Source organism: Homo sapiens, chromosome 15 (assembly GCF_000001405.40).
Source record: "Homo sapiens chromosome 15, GRCh38.p14 Primary Assembly".
Taxonomy (NCBI): domain Eukaryota; kingdom Metazoa; phylum Chordata; class Mammalia; order Primates; family Hominidae; genus Homo; species Homo sapiens.
The window spans coordinates 24899780-24926234 of record NC_000015.10 but is presented as its reverse complement, the minus strand read 5'-3'; the positions used below and the strand labels follow the sequence as shown (position 1 = coordinate 24926234).

Sequence of the window (26455 nt, the reverse complement as noted above, 5' to 3'; positions counted from 1 at the left end):
ATAATAAAAGTTGGAAAATTATTAAAATATCCTTACAATAGAATCTAAAGTAGCTATTTAAAGAATGAGGGGCCTGGCACAGTGGCTCATGCCTGCAATCTCAGCACTTTGGACAGAAGGACTGCTTGATGCCAGGAGTTTGAAACTAGATTGGTTAACATAGTTAGATCCCATCTCTACAAAAAGATTTAAAAATTAGTGGGCCGGGCACGGTGGCTCAGGCCTGTAATCCCAGCACTTTGGGAGGCCGAGGCGGGCGGATCACAAGGTCAGGAGATCGAGACCATCCTGCCTAACACAGTGAAACTCCATTTCTACTAAAAATTCAAAAAATTAGCCGGGTGTGGTTGCGGGCGCTACCGCTACTCGGGAGGCTGAGGCCAGAGAATGGCGTGAACCTGGGAGGCAGAGCTTGCAGTGAGCCGAGATCGCGCCACTGCACTCCAGCCTGGGCAAGAGTGCGAGACTCTGTCTCAAAAAAAAAAAAAATTAGCTGGGCATGGTGGTATGCACCTATGGTCCCAGCCACTGGGGAGGCTGAGATGGGAGGATCGCTTGGAGATTGAGGCTGTAGTGATCGCACAACTGCACAACAGAGTGAGATCCTGTCTTTTAATTAAACAACAACAATAATAAATTTATAAAAAAGAAAAGGAGGACTCTATAAAAGCAGTTTTGAAAGCTTCATGGAGTAAGACACAGCAGAAATGAGAGCAGAGGAACTGGGGTGTGGAGCCAGGGAAGTGTTGGGGAGTGGTAGGGGGACGCAATCATACATTTTTCTTTTTGTAGAGATGGGGTCTTGCTTTGTTACCCAGGCTGGTCTCGAACTCCTGGCCTTGAGCGATCTTCCCATCTCAGCCTCCCAAAGTGCTGTACAAGTGTGAGCCACCATGCCTGGCCACAATCCTACTTTTGAGAATCAAAGAATTAAAAAAAAGCTTATAGCTTATTTTCCTATGATTGACATAAAACACCGGAAATGTCCTTTCTTCCAGGGGCCCTTTATAAGCTAGTAAGCAACATATATACTATGGATTTGGAGGCATCAATATTTTTCTTAAAAGAGGTTGAAATTTAGCTTTTCCTGACTCAACCCTGAATAACTTCAGTACAGCCTTCATACACAATTCTATTTAAGTCAATAGATAAAATAATCATATGATTGTGTACTTACTGTGTTCATAGTCCAATAGAGAGTTTATACTAGCTAATAGAATTTGGAGTTAAGTAGATGGAAAAATCACCACAGCTGAATCAGAGGCCAAACCTTCTGTCAGACATGCAGACATTTATCATCCCAGTTTTCACGTGGCTGGGTGTAAGGTTCTATTCTGCCAAGCATAAGCTCAACAAGACCTGGCTGTGGACAAGGGTATTCTTTTCTTTCTTCCTGCCTGCACATTTCCCAAGAGGGCTGAAGGAGTTCAGGAAATGCCACCCCTAGCCTGGGCATGGTAACTCATGCCTGTAATCCCAGCTGTTTGGGAGACAGAGATAGGAGGATCACTTGAGGTCAGGAATTGGAGACCAGCCTAGGCAACATGGTGAGACTCTGTCTCTGCAAGAAATAAAAAAAAAAAAAGTAGCCGGGCATGATGGTGCATGCCTCTGGTCCTAGCTACTTGAGAGACTGAGGCGGGAGGATCTCCACCCCAAAATATGATGCTTTGGTGTGCTGATTACTTTCAACTGAGGTTATGTGGGGAGCAGCTCATACAGGCAGAGGTTTTCTCTGAGCTTCCTTATCTAAAGACAGATTATCTAAAAGGAACTTAATTGTCATGAATCCCCTCCCCAGGAAACTCACTAACCAGGGAAGATTGGCTCCTATCACAGGAGAGGAGAGTAGACCTTGATAACACACGCAGACTTTGTCACCGGCTGTTACCTGTTCTTCTGACAGTCCATTTATCTTTCCCCCAAACTGTTTACTCTCCCCTAAGTTACCTAATCACCTATACCCTCTGTCCTAAGAAGAGGGTACATAAGCTTCTGAATCTCACTGGGTTCTGGGATATTCGCTTTTCTTTCATGTGATGTCCCTGTGTCCATATCTAATTTGTATACCTTTTCTCCCATTAATCTGACTACTGTCAATTTCTTTCAAGGACTCAATTATTGAATTCTCAGAAAGTAGAGGAAAGGTCTTCCCTCCTGTACAGGAGGAAAGACTCCTGAGTTCAGGAGCTTGAGATCAGCCAGAGCTACATGCTGAAACCTCATTTCTACTAAACTACAAAAAGCCAGGCATCCAGCCTGGGTGACAGAGTGAGACTCCATCTCAAAAAAAAAAAAAAAAAAAAAAAAATGTTTATATACACACACACACACACACACACACACACACACATACACGGCACTAAAAAGAAACAAATCCTAAATTTATCACAGTGAACTCCAGCAACTGAGAAGACCCAAGTGAGCCCTTCCCAAAACAGCCTCTCTCCTGTCACAGGTAACCACCATCCTGACTTGTCATACTGACTTCTGAATGTTACAGAGATGGGCTCAGACAAGTATGTTTTTGCCTAGATTATTTTGCTCAACTTTGTGTTTATAAAATTCATCAAGGTTTTTACATGTAGATACAGTTCATTATTTTTTATTTATAGTTGAATTCCATTGAATTCCTATACCACCATTTACTTACCCACTCTGCTTTATTTCCAGTTTTGGCTATTACAAATAATGCTGCTATAAACATTTAAATACATGTCTTTTCATCAACTGTGCATGTACTTTTCCGTGGCCTACTCCACACAGTAGAATGGATGGTGCGTGTGTAAGGTACACATGGTTTTGTAGGTAATAGCAGGTAGTTTACCAAAGTGGTTGTTATAATTAACACTGCCATGAGCAACATTTGAATTGAAGATCCATGAATTCCACTACCAGTTACAGATCCTTGAGAGATGTGTACCTATATAAATCAGGATACACATACTTCAGTGATTACGATTGCAGTGTTGGTGATAACTGCAGACTAGACACAACCCAAACAATCATCAGGTATAGAAGGGATCTGCAGCCGCGCATGGTGTCTCACACCTGTAATCCCAGCACTTTGGGAGGCTGAGGCAGGCAGATCACCCGAGGTCAGGAGTTCGAGACCAGCCTGGACAACATGGTAAAACCCCATCTCTGCTAAAAATACAAAAATTAGCTGGGTGTGGTGGCAGGTGCCTGTAGTCCCAGTTACATGGGGGTCTGAGGCAGGAGAATCGCTTCAATGCAGAAGGCGGAGGTTGCAGTGAGCTGAGATTGCGCCACTGCACTCCATCCAGCTTGAGCAATAGAGCGAGACTCTGTCTTCCCAAAAAAAAAAAAAAAAAAAAAAAAAAGGATCTGCCTACTGTGGCATAGATATGGAAATACTAGGATAATGATATGTCTGTATACCTATAGTGATATGCATACACTCTGTATACATACACAGTGAGAAAGATACATGCTACATGCTGTATATATTATATATAATGAGAGAACACCATCAATAAAAATTAAGAAGCTGGAATTACACACAACATGGATAAATACAGAAAATGCAATATCAAGTGGAAAAGACAAAAAAATACATACAGTTAAGAATAAACAAAACTACGTAAGATGTATTCCTGTAGCTTAAGTATGTAATCACGAGGAATAAAATTACAAAGAGCAGCATGGAGGATTCATCTCAGTCAGAATAAAAGGTCAAGATTCAGAAGGGATACCCACGAGTTTTGAGGGAGCTCAGGATCATGTCTTTCTTGACTTGGGTATTAGATGATATATTTGTAAAGCAGTACTGTATTGTATGCAATTTTTCCCTATATATAGCTCACAAGAAAACAAGTTTGAGAAAAATAGTTCTGGGTTCAAGGTAGTAGACCTGAAATTTCTGGGTTTCATGTCAGTGAAATGTGTAGAGGATCTGGATTGTGAATGCCTGAATTAATACCCCAGCCCTGCCACTTTCATGTGTGAGGTTGAACAAGGCTCTTAGCCTTTTTGTATGGCTTTTTCTTTTCTCTTTTTTGAGACGGAGTTTTGCTTTTGTCGCCCATGCTAGAGTGCAATGGCACGATCTTGGCTCACTGCAACCTCCGCCTCCCAGGTTCAAGCGATTCTCCTGCCTTAGTCTCCCTAGTAGCTGGGATTACAGGAGCCCGCCACGGTGCCCGGCTAATTTTTTTTTTTTTTTTTTTTTTTTTTAGTAGAGACGGAGGTTTCACCATGTTGGCCAGGCTGGTCTCAAACTCCTGACCTCAGGTGGTCCACTTGCCTTGGCCTCCCAAAGTGCTGGGATTACAGGCGTGAGCCACCGTGCCCGGTCTGTATGGCATTTTTATCGTCACTAACATATAACAGGTGGAAATGGAAAAGAGGAACAGTGGCTGATACAGAATAAGTACTCAACTGATAGTGACTAATACTGGTAACTTACATCCTCTGCTGTATTTAATTCGCAACAATACTAGACTGTGCTCAGAAAAGCCAGTTTCAATAGGCCAAGTGAGTTGGCCTGAAGGACTGTGCTCTCTTCCCTTTCTGCAATGGCCATCTGACTAGCAAATTCAAACCAAGAACCCAGTCCTGTGCCTCAGTTACGACATGTTAACAGGCCAAGGGCTGATCATAAGGTCATTTACCAAGCCCTGGGTGGCTCACTTTCCTAGGGTGGAGCCCTTTAACCACAGGAGGACTTGGAGAACCTGACCCTACATATTGCCTGGATTACAACTAACCCCCATGCCTTAGGATTCCGTATCACAGTTGCTTCCACTCCCTTACCTGGGAAATAAGTTTGGCTTCCTTTATATGAACAGAAGGAAGATCTTTCTTGAATGCAGACAAACATGTTTCCAGGGCTACTCTGCAGGAACAGTTTCTGAGAGGGACTGTAACTCCTCAAAAACTGGGCTTTTCAGGCCATAAAAAAACGCACCTGCATCCTCACGAATTCCCTGGGTGAACCTCAAGCAAACTCTGCTCACCTGCTTAATGTCAATCTTCTTTAACCATGGCTACATCTGAAGCCTTCACAAAGCTGAATTTGCAGCTTCAGTTCTGTTGATTCTGGGTCAGATCTGATCCTGCATGAACATGAGCCTGTCAGAAGAGCCTTGGCCAAGTGGAATATTATGGCTGTCCTTGGATATATGCCACTTCCAGAATTTGTATTACACCAGACAAATCATGGACTGTCACTGACCCATCAGAAAAATGGGCTGAAGTGGATGGAAAATATCATACACCTCCAGCACATACTCTTTCAATCATTATCTACTTGGAAGGGTACTACACCTGGGTAACTCTCCGAAACAAACCTTTAACAGCAGCTGACCTAAAACACAGACACAAAGCAATAGCTATGCAAATGATGTCTGAGCTTCGCTTCACTGCTGGGACTTAAGATTTTGGAGGCAATTTGGTCCAGTCATTCTCAAACTATAATAAACATACAAAACACTGGAAGAATTGTTAACATGTGATTCTGAATCCATAGGTCTGGGATTGAGTTTATGCCTCTATACACGCCCGCTGCCCGCCCACGTTCTCCCTTACTCCCCAGCCCTTGAGGGGGTTTGAGTGTATAAAGCACTCATTCACATATTGAAACTGGGCTTCAGCTCTGCTCCCTCCTCAGATTTGGCACATTACTGTAATTTTCTCTAACCCAGGTTAGTGAACCCGAATCCCACCTCTCTCAACGTGTGTTCCTCAGACCAGTCCTGGCACTTGTTCGAAATGCAGATTCTTCTGCCGCAAACCAAACCCTGAGAATTAGAAACCCTGGGATGGAGCTTGCACGCTGTGTTTAACAAGCCCCCAGGTGATACTAATGCACACTCAAGTGGGGAAATGACTGCTCTTGCCAGAGGGATATACTAGAACAAAGTAACCGGAGAAAAGCAAACACTGTATCCAAAAAATGGGGAAATAATTAAATTATGCAGTTAAATCGTAATTAAAATGAACACGGCTTGAGCAACACAACACGTTTCTGATTCAGAAAAAAAGGTTTACAAGCATTTATAACAGAGGAGGTCACAGACTAGACAGGATGTGCATGCAAGTGGAAGGTAAGGAGGAAGAGGCTGGAGATATATAAAATTTCTACTTACATAAGAGAAAGTAGATTCAGCCACTGGTAAAAGGGGCAGCAAAAATCTGTAGAGGAGATTCTGGTGGAAGAGTATGTTCAGGGAATGTTGCCTTCTGAGTTCCACTTACATATGCTGAGGTTGAGAATTGTAAAGAAAAAAGATATATCAGGTCATTCAAAATAGAAGTACATGTATCTAGAAGTTATGCAAAACGTGCTTTGTGTTCCATGAAAAGGGGAGATACAAATGGGGCAGAGGAACATTTTATAAAAACATAGCGTTCTGTACACTGACAAAGATTCTTTGCTTGATCAAACATTAGTCAGGCACCTGAACCTTCTCCAGTCTGTGCACTTCCTTGTCAAATCCAGCTTTAGCAAGAACTTCCTTACCTTTGATATCTGATCACCCTTAATATCTTACCAGGTTCATCATCCTGCACCATCCCCCAAGTGATGTTTGATCACCCTGGCCTGTCTTCAGCAAAAATCCTGTTAGGCTGGTTTAGCCAGAATCCCCCTAACCTTTGAGGTTTCTCATTGGTAATTTTCCATTCACAGACCTCCCAGCCTGCTCTTTGGTTATAAATTTCCGCTTGCCTACGCTGTTTGGAGTTAGCCCAATCTCTATCTGCAGAGGTCCCTGTACCTATCACCATGGTGACCCTTACCTTGCTTTAACAAGCATAATTGAATATTTTTTTTTTTTTTTTGAGACAGAGTCTCGCTCTGTCGCCCAGGCTGGAATGCAGTGGCGCTATCTCGGCTCACTCCAAGCTCCGCCTCCCGGGTTCACGCCATTCTCCTGCCTCAGCCTCCCGAGTAGCTGGGACTACAGGTGCCCGCCACGACGCCCGGCTAATTTTTTGTGTATTTTTAGTAGAGACGGGGTTTCACCGTGTTAGCCAGGATGGTCTTAATCTCCTGACCTCGTGATCCGCCCGCCTCGGCCTCCCAAAGTGCTGGGATTACAGGCGTGAGCCACCACGCCCAGCAATTGAATAACTTTTTAACGCACACACATAAAATAAACCAAACGGCTATGTTATATATATATGCGCACATATATATTATGTTATATATATATGCGCACATATATATTATGTTATATATATATGCGCACATATATATTATGTTATATATATATGCGCACATATATATTATGTTATATATATATGCGCGCATATATATTATGTTATATATATGTGCGCATATATATATTATGTTATATATATGTGCACATATATATATTATGTTATATATATATGCACATATATATATTGTTATATATATGTGCGCATATATATATTATATATATGCGCACATATATATATTGTTATATATATATATGCACACATATATATTATGTTATATATATATGCACACATATATATTATGTTATATATATGCACACATATATATTATGTTATATATATGCACACATATATATTATGTTATATATATGCACACATATATATTATGTTATATATATGCACACATATATATTATGTTATATATACACACATATATATTATGTTATATATATACATATATATTATGTTATATATATACATATATATTATGTTATATATACACACATATATATTATGTTATATATACACATATATATATTATGTTATATATACACACATATATATTATGTTATATATATACACATATATATTATGTTATATATATACACATATATATTATGTTATATATACACATATATATTATGTTATATATATACACATATATATTATGTTATATATATACACATATATATAATGTTATATATATATACACATATATATTATGTTATATATATATATGTTTGCATATATATGTTATGCAAAATCCATACCATCTTTTAAGATAAAATGTGTGGTACTGTGGCAAATTTGCTGTAAAAGTCCTTGTCTCTGGCCTCTGTCCATTAGAGATATTTTGATAGAAAAGTGACAGAATGATAGAATCAAAAGCAAAGCAAATTCAGTATACACATATGCACATACAGATACGTACTTTTTATAAGAGGAGTCTCATTAAAATAAATTCTACCCTCAAACTTACTGAAAAATATTTAAAGTATTTTGAAAATTAAAGACAACACAATATTTTAAAAGTAAGGCATGGGAACAAATTTGCCCATAAATGATTTTTCTAACCATAAGATTAATGTAAAACTATTCTTGTATTGTTCTACATAAAATCAAGAGCTCTCTTTAGGTCACATTTGTTAAAGCCAGAACGAAAAGAAAAAAGTATAAGATTAATAGGGAAGTTGGCTCTTTTAAAATCTTATTTTACAGGGTACATTGTTAAGACTGTAGAGGAACATTTATGGTTTTTAAAAAACTAAATCCACAACATAAAAACGAGAGAACATGAAAAACAAATATGGAACACGGGCTTCCCGTGGCTGCGGAAAGAAAACCCTGAAGAGCAGCACCAACATCCTCACTGCGCACTGCAGCGCAGACCAGGGCGGGTTTGGCCCCTGCTAGCGGTCACTGCGCCCCCACACGTCACCTTCCCAGAATACCCCAGGCCGCGTTGAAATGATGGCGTTATTACCTGCAGGCAGGTGTAATGGTGGCAGGTAGGAGGAAAGCTCCCTCATTTTCACCAGGTGGCAGGCATGGAACATCCCCTGAAACCTTATGCAGTAATCTTGGTTTTTCTTCCCTAGCCTCAAAAAATACTTCGAAATTACTAAATTCTCCTCTTCAGGAGAGTCCAGGAATAGGAGTTTTAAAATAATTAAGACAACATAACATCTACTATAAAACATACATCCATTTAAAAAGTATTTGATCCAGAAGGAACTAAATCGTTGATGGAGAAAAAAATATGACATCATAGATCTCAAAGGAAATGTTCATTTCTTCTATTCCTACTTACCTGGAAATTTATGGCCTTTAAAAGCTGATTCTGAGAGATGAAGCCACCTGGACTTCGTAGGTCAGGTGGGGCCTTGGAGAACTTTTCTGTCTTACAACAGGTTTGTAAAATGCACCAATCAGTGCTCTGTAAAAATGCACCAATCGATGCTCTGTAGCTAGAGGTTTGTAAAATGGACCAATCAGCACCCTGTAAAATGGACCAGTCAGCACTCTGTAAAATGGACCAATCAGCAGGATATGGGTGGGGACAAATAAGGAATAAAAGCTGGCCACTCCACCCCAGCCACCAGTGGCAACCTGCTCAGTCTGCTTCTATGCTGTGGAAATTTTGTTCTTTCGATCTTCACAATAAATCTTGCTGCGGCTCACTCCTTGGGTCTGTGCCACCTTTAAGAGTTGTAACACTCACCACGAAGGTTCAGAAGGCTTGTGGCTTCATTCTTGAAGTCAGTGAGACCACAAACCCACAAACCCACCGGAAGGAACCAACTCCGTACACAATTCTTAATTAAAATTTCAAACACGAGCGTACTACTTCCTCAACAAATGCTGACACCTAATTTAATACTGTTACCATTATATGATCTACCTATAATCCATGTACACATATACTATGAAGCATATGTAGAAACAAACACCAATGTATGTATGTATATGTATTTTTTTCTTCTTTTTTTTTCTTCTAGAGACGATCTGGTTCTATCACATGGGCTGGAGTGCAGTGTTGCAGATCACTGCTCACTGAAAACTTGAGTTTCTGGGCTCAAGCAATCCTCCTGCCTTAGCCTCCTAAGTAACTGGGACTACAGGCTGAGTCACTAAGCTTATGTACCTATCTGATCTCTCTCCATCTCTCACTCTGTCTCTCTTTCTGTCTCTGTCTTTGTCTCTCTCTCCCCCCACTTTCCCCTAAGTTTTTAAATTTTTTCACTTTGAAACATTAACCCACATTGCTCCTTAAAAGAATAAGTCAACCAAGGCTGGGCGCGGTGGCTCACGCCTGTAATCCCAGCACTTTGGGAGGCCGAGGTGGGTGGATCACGAGGTCAGGAGTTCAAGACTAGCCCGGCCCACGTAGTGAAACCCCATTATCTACTAAAAATACAAAAGTTAGCCAGGCTTGGTGGCGGGTGCCTGTAATGGGAGGCTGAGGCAGGAGAATCACTTGAATCCGGGAGGCAGAGGTTACAGTGAGCCGAGATTGTGCCATTGCACTCCAGCCTGGGTGGCAGAGTGAGACTCCATCTCAAAAAAAAAAAAAAAAAAAAAGTCAACCTGGCCAAAAAAAAACCACAATGTGTGTATATAATCAGATGTATATCGCTGATTATTCAAGGAATAAAAAACTATAGAACTAGCTGAATATCATTCCTAAATTTGTCACAAGGAGTTTTATAATTTTGGAATTATTCCCTGCCACCCCTTAAAATTTTTATAGTAGCAACATTCTTCTATAATTACATAGATTTTTAAAAGTCAAATTACAAATAAAAAGACGAGGAATTTATAACTTTGGGAACAGTTTGTTATATTGTCAGGCTTATGTTGTAGAATGCAACAAATACAAGTTTATGCTATATTTTTGTAGGATGAAATCAGAACATCAACACTGGGAAAACAAACTGATTGGACAATAACATCAAGGTTGAAGAGAGCTCCACTGGAGAAAAGGGAGCATAATGCATACAGGAGGGATGACAAAGTTTCTCTGCTTAACCAAAATTTACTCAGGCTTCTCCTCCACCCATCTGTGGACCTCATTATAAAATCTAGTTTTAACAAGGAAGTCTGTTTATCAAGAACTCTCTTCTCGGCCGGGCAAGGTGGCTCACCCCCATAATCCCAGCACCTTGGGTGGCCGAAGCGGGCAGATCACGATGTCAGGAGTTTGAGACCAGCCTGACCAACATGGTGAAACCCTATCTCTACTAAAAATACAAAAATTAGCCGGGTATGGTGGTGCACGCCTGTAATCCCAGCTACTCAGGAGGCTGAGGCAGGAGAATCACTTGAACCCAGGAGGCGGAGGTTACAGTGAGCCGAGATCACGCCACTACACTCCAGCCTGGATGACAGAGCGAGACTCTGTCTCAAAAATAAATAAATAAATAAATATAAAAAAGAACCCTCTTCTCCTTGATATCTGATCACCCTTGATATCTGATCAGGTTCATCTTCCACCATCTTCCAAGTGATACATGACCACTCTGGCCCATCTTTAACAAGAATCTTGTTAGGTGTCAGTTTAGCCAGAATCCCCCTTATCCCTGATGTTTCCTTTTAGTAATTTTCCATTCCTTCACCCACTACACCCCAACCCTGCTTCTTGGTTATAACGTCCCTTTTTCCCATGATCTATTTGGAGTTCAGAGCAATCTCTCTATTCCATTGCAAAATCCCATTGCATTGGTCCCTGTATCTATCACAATGGTCCTGAATAAAGTTTTCTTTACCATGCTTTAATAAGTATCACTGAATATATAATTTTTTCAGTTATTCATTTTTGGTCCCCTGGACCTCTCACCCAGGACCTCAGGGTGCACCTTTGAAACCTTGTCTTTATTCCTAATAAGTTGATTGGGGATCCACTGGTGAATTAGACTCTGGAGCCATTGATTGCTCTGGACAAGTGTCCACTGAAGCTTGTAAGGATAGGTTTTAATTTTTTTTATTTATTTTTATTTTTAATTTTTGTGTGTGGAGAGGATCTCACTATCCCGCTATGTTGCCCAGACTGGTCTCAAACCCTGGGCTCAAGTGATCGATCCCCTTGCCTCAGCCTCCCAAAATGCTGGGATTACAGGCATAAGCCACCACACCTGGCCTTGATTCTTAAGAATTCAGAGTATAGTTTGAAGCTGGATTAGACTCCCAGGTATCTTTTGAAAGGTACTTCCTGGAATGGAAGGTCTTTTTCCTGGCTCTTTGTAGGGTGAAAATTATTTCCTCACCGTTGGGCTGCACATCTGTTCTTCCTGGCTCTTGTGGGAGGCCAGAATATGCCACCCTAAAACTGGAAGCATTGTTGAGCTGAAGACAATTAAGAAGAAGCAGATGCAGGGAAGTTTTTTGTTCTTCCTTTACTGGCCGAAAAGCAAGATATAGAGTTGCGAAGACAAAAGGTACCCTCTCCCTCCCCACTCTCCACACTCACGCTTTTACCAGGGAGAACAAAGGCTAACCACTGAAGAAAACTTTAGACCCTGGTCAGCCTGGAAATGATACCAAAGGAATTTATAGCAACATGCTTAGTAACTGAATTTATCTGCAATTTATTTGCCTTTCCGTAAGTTGTCACCCCTACGGACACAATCTCCTTTTTCTTTATCTTTTCACTTCTCTAAAAATGTACGGTTCTCTGCTGAAGATGCTATATATGCTGGAATTCAAAGCACTTCTTTGATAACTATTCATTCTCTGGGTATTTTCCATGTGTAGATGAAATACACACATTAATAAACTTGTTTGCTTTTCTCTTGTTAATCTTTATTTTGTTAAAGGGGTCTGTTTGGACTAAAAAATAAACTGAGTGTTATTTTTCCCCTACACTCTTTTTCTTTGTTTTTTTTGTTTTGTTTTGTTTTGTTTTTTTGAGACGGAGTCTCACTATGTCACCCAGGCTGAAGTGCAGTGGCGTGATCTTGGCTCACTGTAGCCTCTGCCTCCCACCAGGTTTAAGCGATTCTCCAGCCTTAGCCTGTCAAGTAGCTGGGATTACAGGCATGTGCCACCACGCCTGGCTAATTTTTGTATTTTTAGTAGAGGTGGTCTTTCACCATGTTGGCCAGGCTGGTCTCAAACTCCTGACCTCAAGTGATCTGCCCACCTTGTCGTCCCAAAGTGCTGAGATTACAGGCGTGAGCCACTATGCCCAGCCCTTATACTCTTTCTTGAGTGGGCATGATTCCTTAACTCCCTGAGATAGAATATTTTTCCTCCTGGCTCTGTTTTCCTGAGTATCTTAGTCCGTTGTACTGCTATTAGAAATACCTGATATTGGCCACGCACAGTGGCTCACGTCTGTAATCCCAGCACTTTGGGAGGCAGATGGGGCCAGATCACCTAAGGTCAGGGGTTCGAGATCAGACTGGCAAACATGGTGAAACCCTGTCTCTACTGAAAATACCAAAGTTAGCCAGGTGTGGTAGTGCATGCCTGTAATCCCAGCTACTCAGGAGGCTGAGGCAGGAGAATCACTTGAACCCAGGAGGCGGAGGTTGCAGTGAGCTGAGATCACACCACTGTACTCCAGCCTGGGCGACAAAGCGAGACTCTGTCTCAAAAAAATAAATAAATAAATACCTGATAATGAGTAACTTATAAAGAACATAAACTTATTTGTCGTGTTTCTGGAGGATGAGAGGTCCAAGATCAAAGCAGCAGAAGGAGGTCTAAACGGGGCTGCTGTCTGTTTCCAAGATGATGTCTTGTTGCTGCATCCTGTGGAGGAGCCATGACTATGTCCTCACATGGTGAATGGGGCAGAAGGGCAAGAAAGTACTCCCTTTAAATTAATACACTTTTATAGAGATGTTAATCTCATGCATTAGAGCAGAGCCCTCATGGCTTAGTCACCACGCAATTGCCAAACCTCTTAATACTGTTGCATTGGGCATTAAATTTCCACACTAATTTTAGAAGGGACACCATTATTCAAACCATAGCACTCCACCCTTGCCATGACATGAGAATTCATGTCGTTCTCACCCACAAGAATATGTCCATTCCATCTTAGTAACTCCAAAATGTCTTAACTCATTCCAGCATCAACTTTCAAGTGTAAGTCGAAAGTCGCATGTAAATATCATCTAAATCAGATATAGGTGATGCTCAAGGTACAATTAATCCCGAGACAATGGCTCTCCAGCTGTGAACCTGTGAAGTCAAACAGATTATGTGTTTCCAAAATACAATGGTTGGACAGGCACAGGATAAACATTCCCTTTATAAAAGTCAGAAATAAGCCAGGCATGGTGCCTGCAGTCTTAGCTATTCAGGAGGCTGAGACAGGAGGATCTCTTGAGCCCAGGAATTTGAGACCAGCCTGGGTGACATAGCTCGACCCCATGGCAAAAACAAAAGGTTGGTGGAGGAAATAGGCAAGAAGATAGGGGTAACATGTCCCACATAACTTCAAAACCCAACAAGGCCAACAAAATTCAATCTTGAGGTGTGAGAGTCAGCTTTTTTGATTCTACCTCTCACCTTACAGAGACACTGGGGTAGTGCTTAGGTTCCCAAGCCCCCAGGGGACCCTGCTGCCATGACTGCTGGAGTCAGCCCATGCCACAGTTCTACAGGTTGTAGTCAGGTGTCTATGTCTATTACAGGTTGGAATACGCACTACCGGATCTACAGGTCTGGGTCTAGGAACTCAGGGGTGGCCCTGTCCCTATGGCTCCACTGAGTATTGCCCTAGTGAGGGCACTCTGTGGTGGCCCCAACCCAATAGTTCTGCTGGACATTGCCCTAGTGGGAACTTTCTATGGCAGCCCTGCCCCTACAGCAGTTCTCTGATTGGGCCCTGAGGCATTCTTCAAGGCTTCCTTGGAAATTAGGTGGAGAAAGCCATGCCTTCACAGCTGTGGATTTAGCATGCCTGCAGTTAGCACCACATGCATGCTGCCCCATGTTTTACTACTTGTGTTTTCTGGAGGAGTGATCTGAGCTGTACCTGGGCCCACCTGAACCACAGATGGGGAAGCTTTGCTTGACTTCAGGGAGCAGATACATGAGGCAGCATAGTCAGTGAGCCCCAAGTTCCCACAGGCATCTTGGGTTGCACTGGAATCCTGGGCTCCTTCCTTAAAATTGTTATTCCCTCAAGGACCTGGCACTTTGGGCCTGTGATGGTTGTGGCATTCTCAGTGCTCTCTGAAATGTCTTCAGGGTCATTCTCCCATTGTCTTAATGAATAGCATCTGGCATTCTAGTCATACTAATCTCCTTATGAAACGGTCAGTTGGCCACACAGTTGGTTTTGTCTCCTGAACTTATTTAAAAAATTCTTTACAAGGCCAGGCTGTTAATTTTCCAAATCTTTATGTTCAACTTCCCTTTAAAAATAATTTTCTTTGGCCCTTTCCAGCACTGACGACCTACCCACAAGAACATGCTTCTTGCAAAGGATCTCCTTCATCCCTCTCCAGAAGAGGAGAAGAGGAAACACAAGAAGAAACACCTGGTGCAGAGCCCCAATTCCTACTTCATGGATGTGAAATGCCCAGGATGCTATAAAATCACCACGGTCTTTAGCCATGTGCCAACAGTGGTTTTGGGTGTTGGCTGCTGCACTTTCCTCTGCCAGCCTACAGGAGGAAAAGCAAGGCTTATGGAAGGATGGTCCTTCAGGAGAAAGCAGCACTAAAAGCACCCTGAATCAAGATGAGTGGGAAACCATCTCAATAAACACATTTTGGATAAAATAATGATAATAATAGTCTTTGGCCAGGTGAGGTGCCTCACGCCTGTAGTTCCAGCACTTTGGGAGGCTGAGGTGGGTGGAACACGAAGTCAGGAGTTCGAGACCAGCCTGGCCAATATGATGAAACCCCATCTCTACTAAAAATACAAAAATTAGCCGGGTGTGGTGGCGGGCGCCTGTAATCCCAGCTGCTCAGGAGGCTGAGTCAGGAGAATCACTTGAACCCGGGAGGAGGCAGAGGTTGCAGTGAGCCGAGATCGCACCATTGCACTCCTGCCTGGGCGACAGAGCAAGACTCCATCTCAATGATAATAATAATAATAATTAGCATTTTTTTTTGAGATGGGATCTCACTCTGTTGCCCAGACTGTGGTACGATCATAGCTCACTGCCGCCTCGACCTCCTGTGCTGAAGCAACCCTCCTACCTCAGCCTGCAGAGTAGCTGGGACTACAGGTGTGTGCCACCATGCCCAGCTAATCTGCTTCCCTTTTGATTAGAAGTCCTATCTTTTCTCTTCTCACAGTTTACTATAAGCAGTTAAGAGAAGCTATGCAGTACCCTGAAAACTTGGCTTAGAGATTTCTTCTGCCAAATGTCCTAGTTCATCGCTCTTACATTCTACCCTCCAAAAAACTATTAAGACACAGAAATACTTCCACCAAGTTTGTGGCAGGGCAGGCTCCCATTAGCAACCAGAACAGTCAGTTTCCACTGACCCTCTATTATAATTCTAATGAATGTATAAGTTAAACATTAAAGAACTGGAGAAACAGGTGACTGAGCATGAGGGCTGGAATATTAAAATAAACCCATTAAAATGGGCTTTCTTAGCCTAAAGTCTGGTTGAATAATAAAAGCATTTTACACAGATACCTTGTTCCAGGTACCCACTGAAGATTAAAAAGCTTTCCCCTTCTCCCTGCCCCAGCGCCGCTGTGCCTGCTGGTCTCTGTTGAGCTGTGGACGCGGGTCTCTGTTCTGCAGGATGGGGTTTGTTAAAGTTGTTAAGAATAAGGCCTACTTTAAGAGATACCAAGTGAAATTTAGAAGACGATGATGAGAGGGTAAAACTGATTACGATACTCGGAAACGCTTGGTGATACAGGATAAAAATAAATACAACACACTCAAATACAGGATGATAGTTCGTGTAACAAACAGAGATATCATTTGTCAGATTGCTTATGCCCATATAGAGGGGGATATGATAGTCTGCACAGCATATGCACACGAACTGCCAAAATATGGTGTGAAGGTTGGCCCGACAAATTATGCTGCAGCATATTGTACTGGCCTGCCGCTGGCCCGCAGGCTTCTCAGTAGGTTTGGCATGGACAAGATCTATGAAGGCCAAGTGGAGGTGACTGGCGATGAATACATTGTGGAAAGCATTGATGGTCAGCCAAGTGCCTTTACCTGCTATTTGGATGCAGGCCTTGCCAGAACTACCACTGGCAATAAAGTTTTTGGTGCCCTGAAGGGAGCTGTGGATGGAGGCTTGTCTATCCCTCACAGTACCAAACAATTCCCTGGTTATGGTTCTGAAAGCAAGGAATTTAATGCAGAAGTACACCGGAAGCACATCATGGGCCAGAATGTTGCCGATTACATGTGCTACTTAATGGAAGAAGATGAAAATGCTTACAAGAAACAGTTCTCTCAATACATAAAGAACAGGGTAACTCCAGACATGATGGAGGAAATGTATAAGGAAGCTCATGCTGCTATACGAGAGAATCCAGTCTATGAAAATAAGCCCAAGAAAGAAGTTAAAAAGAAGAGGTGGAACCATCCCAAAATGTCCCTTGCTCAGAAGAAGGATTGGGTAGCTCAAAAGAATGCAAGCTTCCTCAGAGCTCAGAAGCAGGCTGCTGAGAGCTAAACCAAACAATTTTCTATGATGATTTTTCAGATACAGACAATAAACTTATGGACAGCAAAAAAAAAGAAAAAGAAAAAAAGATTAAAAAGCTTTCCAAGACTCTAGAGAAAGATTTCCAGACCCTAGGTCCTAGTTAAAGTTTAGATATAGATTGAAGGAAACACTCCTGCTTGGAGGTGCAATTCCACTCCTAGCATGGGAGCTTAAAATGTATATAAGCACTAGAAAAAAACTTGTAACTTTGAGTTGGTATGGTGAGTTACTCCGGCCTTCTCCCTGTAACCAGCTGCAGAAATAAACTCCCTTCTTTCCCAGACCTTGTTCTGTTCTTTCCAGGAACAAATCCTCTGCCACTTTGTAACAAGGATGGCTTTTCCTCCAGTTTCCAATAAGATATCCCTCATTTCCATCTAAGACTTCATCAGAATGTCCTTTACTGTCCATATTCTTTCTAACATTCTGTTCACAACCACCTAGATAATCTCAAAGACGGAGGCTTTCTCTATGGCTTTTCATCTTCTGAAGCCTCGTCAGAATCGCCTTAATGCATGGCAAACTAGCCTTCTTCTAGCATGCACTTCCAAACTCTTCCAGCCTCTACCCATTACTCAGTTCCAAAGCAGCCTCTACATTTTTAGGTATTTGTTATTGCAACACTGCCACTTCTCAGTACCAATTTCTATCTTAGTCAGTTGTGCCGCTAAGCATAATAACTGAGCCTAGGAAATCTATAAAGAACAGAAATTTGTTTCTCACAGTTCTGGAGTCAGGAAGTCCAATTACGCCATCAAGTCACTGGCATAATTTGTGTCTAGTAAGGGCTGCTCTGTGCTTTCTTTCTTTCTTATTCTTTTTTTTTTTTTTTTTTTTTTTTTTGAGATGGAGTCTAGCTCTGTTGCCCAGGCTGGAGGGCAGTGGTGCAATCTTGGCTCACCACAACCTCCACCTCCCGGGTTCAAGTGATTCTCCTGCCTCAGCCCCCCGAGTAGCTGGCATTACAGGTGCCCACCACCATGCCCAGCTAATTTTTGTATTTTTAGTAGAGATAGGGTTTCACTGTGTTGGACAGGCTGGTCTCGAATTCCTGACCTCATGATCTGCCTACCTTGGCCTCCCAAAGTGCTGGGATTACAAGTGTGAGCCACCGCGCCTGGCCTACTCTGTGCTTTCAAGGTAGTGTCTTGGCCAGGCGTGGTGGCTTATGCCTATAGTGCCAGCATTTTGGGAGGCCGAGGTGGGAGGATCACTTGAGCCCAGGAGTTTAAGACCAGCCTGGGCAACATACTATTTCACTGAAGATTACATTTCAACATGATTTTTTTCTTTTTTTTGAGATGGAGTCTCGCTCTGTCACCCAGGCTGGAGTGCAGTGGCACGATCTCGGCTCACTGCAAGCTCTGCCTCCTGGGTTCATGCCATTCTCCTGCCTCAGCCTCCCGAGTAGCTGGGACTACAGGCGACCGCCACCACGCCTGGCTAATTTTTCTATATTTTTAGTAGAGACGGGGTTTCACCATGTTAGTCAGGATGGTCTCGATCTCCTGACCTTGTGATCCGCCTGCCTCGGCCTCCCAAAGTGCTGGGATTACAGGCATAAGCCACCATGCCCGGCCTCAACACGAATTTTTGAGAGGGCACCATCATTAGAACCATAGCAGTGGGGATTATTCCCTGGATACTTGGCCTGGAAGTCCTTCCTCCGTAGGTATTATTCCCTGACTTCCTGGGCTGCGAATCTTTTACTCCCAGCTCTATTTAAGACCAATCCATTCTCTATATTGGATTCTGCTTCTCCCTTGGGATGTTCTCTGTCATCTGAATCCCCTCTTCTCAAATCCCTGCTTACGATATGCTTTGCCAACTCTGTCCACCTCTTTTTTGGCATTATTTTACCCTTCAGTTCTCTTGCCTCCTTTGATATTTCCCCCTTCAAGCCCCTAACTGCTTCATCCTCCCTCCCTCTGCCCTCCCCTGCCAGCCTTTTATCTCCTCCAGTCCCACAATCACTTGAACTTTAGGGCCCTCTTCTCCTAAGGGACAGCAGATCCTGCAAAATCAACTACCTGCGTCAGAAAAGAAAAAACCTAATTAGAAATAGACTGGATGACAACTTCTAGATGTCTGCTCAGCCATTCACCTAAAATTTCGTTAATAGCCTCCGTAAGAATGACCTCTGATAATAGGCACTTACACCCCCTTGAGTCTCTGTAAATAATGCCCCCAAATATGGCACCTCAGAAATTGAGATAATAGATGCAGGAAGCACAGTCTTTGACCTCTTCCCCCTGAAGTGGGTCACAAAAGAATTCTCTGACCTACCTCCCCGGAAAGTAGGTCATAAATTCCTCACTCAGGAGCAGTCCTTTTCTATACGCAGAGACCAAGAAGAATCTGAACAGATCTGGCTAATTTCTCCTCAGATTATTGCCACTAGGTCATACCCATTTGTTTTCCAATCACACATTTGCATAGCTCTCTGTAAAAATAGATTTTTCCAGCCATGTACGGTGGCTCATGTCTGTAATCCCAGCACTTTGGGAGGTCAAGGTGGGTGAATCAGTTGAGCTTGGGAGCTCAAGACCAGCCTGGGCAACAAGGCAAAACCCCATCTCTACAAAAACAAAACAAAACAAAAATTAGCCAGGTGCAGTGGCACCCACCTGTAGTCCCAGCTACTCGGGAGGCTGAGGTGGAATATGGCTTGAGCCCATGGAGGTGGAGGTTGAAGTGACCTGGGATCGTGTCACTGAACTCCAGCCAGGGTGACAAAGCCAGACCTTGTCTCAATTAAAAACAAAAACAAAAACAAAAAAACCCAGGATTCTCCCTGGTTCTTTTGATCTTCATTTCTAAAAGCTCCCATGTCACATAATACTTTTAGTAACTACATTTGATATTATTTTTTCTTATTAATATGTCTTTTGTTATAGGAGTCTCACTCGTTAACCTTGTAATGGGTGATGAAAATATATTACTTTTTCGTTCCTACAGTTTCAAATAAATCACCTTTGTGTCTGTTGCTGGGTGGGCCCCTCAGGAAGTTCACCAGAACACTGGATGTAATCACCAAAGACATACAAACTGTAAACTAGGAAAACTCATTAGACTGTCACTACCTTCCTAACTTCACCATCTAAAGATAAGCTCAAGTCTAAACAATCTTGACTGGCTGATCTCTGGACTCAGAAGCTGAGTTTACAGTTTATTCCAAATATTAATCTTTGTTTTTCTTTTATTTTCGCTAAACTAAGCTCCTCTCATTAAAAGCCTGGCAGCTACAACCACCTAGCAGTTATCTTCTACCAAGTCCCAACAAATGTTACAGCTGATTCTTAATGAACAAAACGCAACTCATCGACAACAAAAAAAATTGACTAACATTATTAAAATGAAATAATGTGTCTTTTTTTTTTTTTTTTTGAGATGGAGTCTCACTCTGTCACCCAGGCTCGAGTGCAGTGGCTTGATCTCGGCTCACTGCCACCTCCGCCTCCCGGGTTCAAGCGACTCTCCTGCCTCAGCCTCCTGAGCTGCTAAGACTACAGGCGCACGCCACCATGCCCAGTTAATTTTTGTATATTTAGTAGAGACAGGGTTTTACCATATTGGCCAGGCTGGTCTCGAACTGCTGACCTCATAATCCCCCCACCTCGGCCTCCCAAAGTGCTGGGTTTACAGGTCTGAGCCACCGCACCCGGTCCTCCCTGTTATTTTTTAACATCTATCTTAAAATCGGATGGGATTTCTGAGCCAGTCAAGGAAGTGTTCTTGAGCTAATTTGGTGGATTTAATTTTTAATTTTTTTTTTTTTTTTTTGAGACGGAGTCTTGCTCTCTCACCCAGCCTGGAGTGCAGTGGCAGGATCTCAGTTTACTGCAACCTCTGAATTCTGGGTTCAAGCGATTCTCCTGCCTCAGCCTCCCAAGTAGCTAGGATTACAGGCACATGCCACCACGCCCAGCTAATTTTTTTTTTTTTTTTTTTTTGAGACGGAGTCTTGCCCTGTTGCCCAGGCTGGAGTGCAGTGGCGCGATCTCGGCTCACTGCAAGCTCCACTTCCCGGGTTCACGCCTTTCTCCTGCCTCAGCCTCAAGAGTAGCTGATGCCCAGCTAATTTTTGTATTTTTAGTAGAGACAAGGTTTCACCATGTTGGCAAGGCTAGTCTTGAACTCCTGATCTCAAGTGATCCTCCCAAAATGTTGGGATTACAGAAGTGAGCCACTGTGCCCAGCCCGGATTTTCTTTCTTTCTTTTCTTTTCTTTTCTTTTTCCCAAGAGGGAGTCTTGCTCTGTTGCCCAGGCTGGAGTGCAGTGGCCCGATCTTGGCTCACTGCAACCTCTGCCTCCCGGGTTCATGCGATTCTCCTGCTTCAGCCTCCTGAGTAGCTGGGATTACAGGCGCGCGGCACCATGCCTAGCTAATTTTTGTATTTTTAGTAGAGACGGGGTTTCACCATGTTGGCCAGGCCGGTCTTGAGCTCCTAACCTCAGGTGATCCACCCGCCTCAGCCTTCCAAAGTGCTAGGATTACAGGCGTTAGCCACTGTAGCCGGCCTGAACAGATTTTCTAATAAAATATGAACTATGCATGTGTGCCATTAAAACATACTCCTGTACATCCATGTTTGTAATTGAAATCAGCCTAATAGGGTTCTCACCAACTGTTAACTGTAGTATGTGGTATTAAAAGTGGTTACGGGGCCAGGCTTCCCTGCATTTTTACTGTGCATTAGCCTGAATTGTGTTCCCTCACACACTGCAGCAAAACATAGCATTGTTTCAGTTTTGAAATATATTTAAAAATATATTCCTGCTGAAATGAACTTAGTCGTTTCTATGTTTTTACCCATCTTTTTCCTTTTTCTTGCTCCGATCTTTTTTTTTTTTTTGAGACAGGACTTTGCTTTGTAGCCCAGGCTGGAATGCAGTGGCCAGACCTCAGCTCTGCTCACTGCAACTGCCACCTCCTGGGCTCAGGTGATCTTCCCACCTCAGTCTCCCAAATACCTGGGACCACAGGCGTGCACCACCACACACAGCAATTTTTTGTATGTTTTTGTAGAGATGGGGTTTATCCACATTGCCCAAGCTGGTCTCGAACTCCTGGACTCAAGTGATCCGCCCCTCTCTGCCTCCAAAGTGATGGGATTACAAGTGTGAGCCACCGCGCTTGGCCCTGATCTTTCTTCTTCCAGCTTTCTGGGACTATCTCTCCCATTAAAACTCAGTAATATCCCTAGCAGCTGCTTATACCAACATTCTGTAAACTTTTTCATGGCCTTTTATTTTCTTGATACCGGATGGTTCCACAATCCTGAATCCTATAAACCAAATGAAGTTTCCATTGGAAAGCATGAATGGAACCTGTGCCGAAACATTCAAGGACTGATTTGGGATCCTGCATAGAGTGGTGTGAGTGGATGAAGAGAATGATGCAAGTTTTTGACCGTTTTCCTTGCAACCATTTCCTTTGGCCCTTAGGATGTTTTGTTTTTGTTTTTGTTTTTTCTCTGCCAAACCCTCTACGCTTTTGCCTGTATAGACTCTTTCTCTAAAGCCAAAACTTTGGGTTAACCACTTTTCAGACACTGGGAAACCAAAATTCTCAATTTACAGTCATATCTGTGGAATCCCTGTTAGGAAGCTGCAAACTGTAGCTAATGAATGTATCTAAACATATACAAAATCAAAGAATTAATGTGCCATTAAGTATCCTCAACATCCAGCCCCAGCATATGCTTTCAGATTGATTCAGGTAAATAAAATAATTTGTATCTGTGGTTCTGAGAGGTGAAGCCAGCTGGGCTTCTGGGTTGGGTGGGGACTTGGAAAACTTTTCTGTCTACCTAAAGGATTGTAAACACAACAATCAGTGCTCTGTGTCTAGCTAAAGGTTTGTAAACGCACCAATCAGCACTCTGTAAAAATGGACCAGTCAGCACTCTGTAAAATGAACCAATCAGCAGGACATGGGCAGGGCCAAATAAGGGAATAAAAGCTGGCCACCGGAGCCAGCAGTGGCAACCCACTGGGGTCCCTTTCCACGCTGTGGAAGCATTGTTCTTTTGCTCTTTGCAATAAATCTTGCTGCTGCTCACTCTTTGGGTCCACACTACCTTTACGAGCTTGTAACGCTTGTAACACCGCAAAGGTCTGCAGCTTCACTCCTGAAGCCGGCGAGACCATGAACCCACCTGGAGGAAGGAACAACTCCGGACTGAGAGCTGTAACACTGACTGCGAAGGTCTGTGGCTTCACTCCTGAAGTCAGCAAGACCACGAACCCACCAGAAGGAAGAAACTCTGGACACATCTGAGCATCTGAAGGAACAAACTCTGGACACACCATCTTTAAGAACTGTAACACTCACTGCCAGGGTGCACGGCTTCATTCTTGAAGTCAGCAAGACCAAGAACCCACTGGAAGGAACGAATTGCAGACACAGTTCCTGAAATAGTTCATCATCTGTTCATACTTAGTTTCTTTCCTGGAACAAAAATCCATTTTTTCTTCCCTGATATATATTTTTTTAAGTTACTACTATTTATTCTTGTCTCTAGTCATAATTTTCTTCCTCTAGATAGCATTCCCTGACCACTTAAATTTCAACTACATTCCTATACATCTGAAATTCCCCAGTAGAATGCATAGCCTAAATCACAAATTTTATATCCAGAATTAGTTGCTTATCTGTTTGTCTGAATTCCCAATTCACAGATGCCTCAAGTACAGGAAGAAAGCTGAATCTTTCATTCACCTCTCCATCTACCACATGCAACAAAGAACATGATCACTCAAATTTTGTTCACAAAAATGCAACGGAAATGCTATTTCCATTTTCCCCTCCCGAAATCAGGAACAATTAAGCATTTATGCAATACCATTCTGAAGTCCAAAAATAATATTAGATCTTGTCTTACGTTACAATTTCTCAGTTTCTCTTATTTACATAGAAGGAAAAGAACTTGTCTTGCCTATCTGTTCATCCTCATTTCTTCCTCCACAACCCCATTTACAACTCTATGAACAGATCATTCTGATTCCTTTGTAATTGGTGCGCCATGTCCCTTCTCGCCTCATTACACTTGTGAATTTTTCTGATTTGCATGTCCTTTTCTTCCTATGTTCTGTGCACTTGGAATCTGAATTTGCCCTTGAAAATTTAACTTAGTCATTATTTTACTTCAGAAACTGATGTTGACTCCTTATGTTGTTTAAAGATAGTTAATCTTCATTATTCTCAGGTTACATATTTGCAAATATGCCCACTCACTAAAGTTTATGTGTAACTTCAAAATCAATACCTGCGGTACTTTTGTGGTCATGCACAGAGTGGCAACAATTTTGTCACCAATTGAGCATATTCCCAGGTAAGGTAGAACACGATGACATTCTTTTTTGTCTCAGTCATACAAACAAGTGTTCTTTTCATGGTCCGTGTGGTATCACTCTGCAACTGTGAATTGACTTAGGGTTGAAAGCTAGGTAGGCATCTGTTGAACATTTGACTACCAGACCCGGAACTTTTCTTGATATAGAGATCAAACAATACTCTAAGTATGCTTCTCATCTATTTCATTCTAGGGACCCTGTGATCAGTTAGCTACCACCAAAGTCTTCTGTTTGCCAAAACATTCTGATTACTGGTACATCCCTCACTGGCCTTTAAAACAAATTGTACATTGTGTCTTTGGCAAAGTTATCACATAAGCAAGATGTTTGAGCCCTCTTCCTCTACCTAAGACGGCAATACCAAGGAATACATCTAACCAAGGAGATGAAAGATCTCTACCAGGAGAACTACAAAATAAATCTTTTTTTGTTAATTTTTTGAGACAGGGTCTGGCTCTGTTGCCCAGGCTGGACTGCAGTTGCATGATCACAGCTCACTGCACCCTCAACCTCCAGGGCTCAAGTGATCCTCTGATCTCAGCCCCCAAGTAGCTGGGACTACAGGTGCACCACTCTCACTGGATTATTTATTTATTTATTTTTTGTAGATACAAGGTCTCTTTATGTTGCCCAAACCGGTCTTAAATTTATGGACTCATCTTATCCTCCTGCCTTGGCATCCAAAGTGCTGGGATTATAGGTGTGAGCCACATGCCTGCAGCACAATAAATCTTGAATCCCCAGTAATAGCACTGAGATTAATTAACCCAATCTACTGTTATATTTTGTCCTCCTTAGTATAACGGCCTTAGAATGCTCTTCCAACATTCCCCAGGTTTCTTCCAATATATGTCACAGTTCCTTTTGCATGTAGCTGTTTCCTACAGGTCATAGTGTGTACCTATCCCTTAGGAATAGGTTGCTATTCAATCCTAGTTATGGGGTCTAGTCATGCTACTAGCAAAAAGTGATGATTTGTAGGGGACTTTAAGAAAAATGGGCATCCCCTTTAATGGTATCTAACCCAGCTTTTGTGCAAGGGAAAGATATTTTCTTCAAACAATAGAGACAAGCTACTTAAACTGGTAAGAAAGGCTCAGCCTGACTTTCTGTTTCCAGATGGTCAGTTTCAACTGAGTCTAAACAGATTCCCCCATTCCAAGTTTCCTGACCCATTCCAAGTTTCAGGATCTCATTCTTGGTTTTGATATTTAACAATATCAGCCCTGCAGCTACAACAAATGAATTTCCTTTATAGTCGCCATGGAAGTTCTCAGGTTTTCAAACCGTGGCTTGAACTGAGAATTAAGGAACCTAAGCTTGTTATTTTCTGTTCGTAATCACTCAAGGACCCTCAACTGAATCCATTCCACCCCACAGTCCTTACAGTTATCTTGACTGCCATAACATTCAGTGCAGCAGTCACTCGGGCTCCCAAGGCACGTGTTTCAGTTGGCACTTTGCCACAATCAACCACAGGTCATTGCTTGATTAATTGTGATACCACTGCATGTCATAGGTTGCTAGTATCCCATTGCACATTGACAAGGAGCTGTGGAATGTGCCCAAACATAAAGGAATGACCAACACAACCTCCCAGATTCATCTCTGTGGAAATATCTCTTGGAACAATGCCAGCATTAATTCTTTCAGTGAGGGTCCAATCAGGAGGCAGACAAAACACAAGAATTTGAGGAGGGAATGTTTGAAGTGGACATTTATTTACTATAAGTGGATTGCAATCCAGAGCTTGTTA

At 42.4% G+C, this 26455-nt stretch overlaps 1 protein-coding gene, 1 long non-coding RNA gene and 2 pseudogenes across 86 annotated transcripts in view, besides 1 other annotated feature; 2 read left to right on the top strand and 2 right to left on the bottom strand.

Annotated features, from left to right (window-relative positions):
* The window catches only part of SNHG14 (small nucleolar RNA host gene 14), a 595855-nt gene that overhangs the window by 493228 nt on the left and 76172 nt on the right, over positions 1–26455 (bottom strand). Inside the window, exon 4 of the long non-coding RNA NR_146177.1 lies at positions 6111–6224. This is a non-coding gene — a long non-coding RNA (small nucleolar RNA host gene 14). The remainder of the gene's footprint in view (positions 1–6110; positions 6225–26455) is intronic.
* Positions 1–26455, bottom strand: part of SNRPN (small nuclear ribonucleoprotein polypeptide N) — a 155087-nt gene that overhangs the window by 52489 nt on the left and 76143 nt on the right. For 38 of the 85 annotated variants that reach the window (NM_022807.5, NM_022808.5, NM_001400637.1 and 35 more), the window contains one exon: positions 6111–6224. The exons of 8 other annotated variants lie outside the window; for them this stretch is intronic. The gene's annotated coding sequence lies outside the window, so the exon portion shown is untranslated. Of the gene's footprint in view, positions 1–776; positions 910–4979; positions 5108–5687; positions 5763–6110; positions 6225–8995; positions 9185–13704; positions 13873–26455 lie in introns of all 85 variants that reach the window. 39 more of the 85 variants (NM_001400690.1, NM_001400641.1, NM_001349457.2 and 36 more) reach the window with 9 other exon arrangements.
* On the top strand, positions 15089–15421 carry RPS27P2 (ribosomal protein S27 pseudogene 2; annotated as a pseudogene).
* On the top strand, positions 16335–17371 carry RPL5P1 (ribosomal protein L5 pseudogene 1; annotated as a pseudogene).
* Positions 25845–26345: an enhancer, noted in NCBI's record as "H3K27ac hESC enhancer chr15:25145037-25145537 (GRCh37/hg19 assembly coordinates)". NCBI's record gives its function as "activates a minimal SCP1, AML or CMV promoter by ChIP-STARR-seq in primed H9 embryonic stem cells {active_cell/tissue: H9 hESC(primed)}" and the evidence as "EXISTENCE:reporter gene assay evidence [ECO:0000049][PMID:30033119]".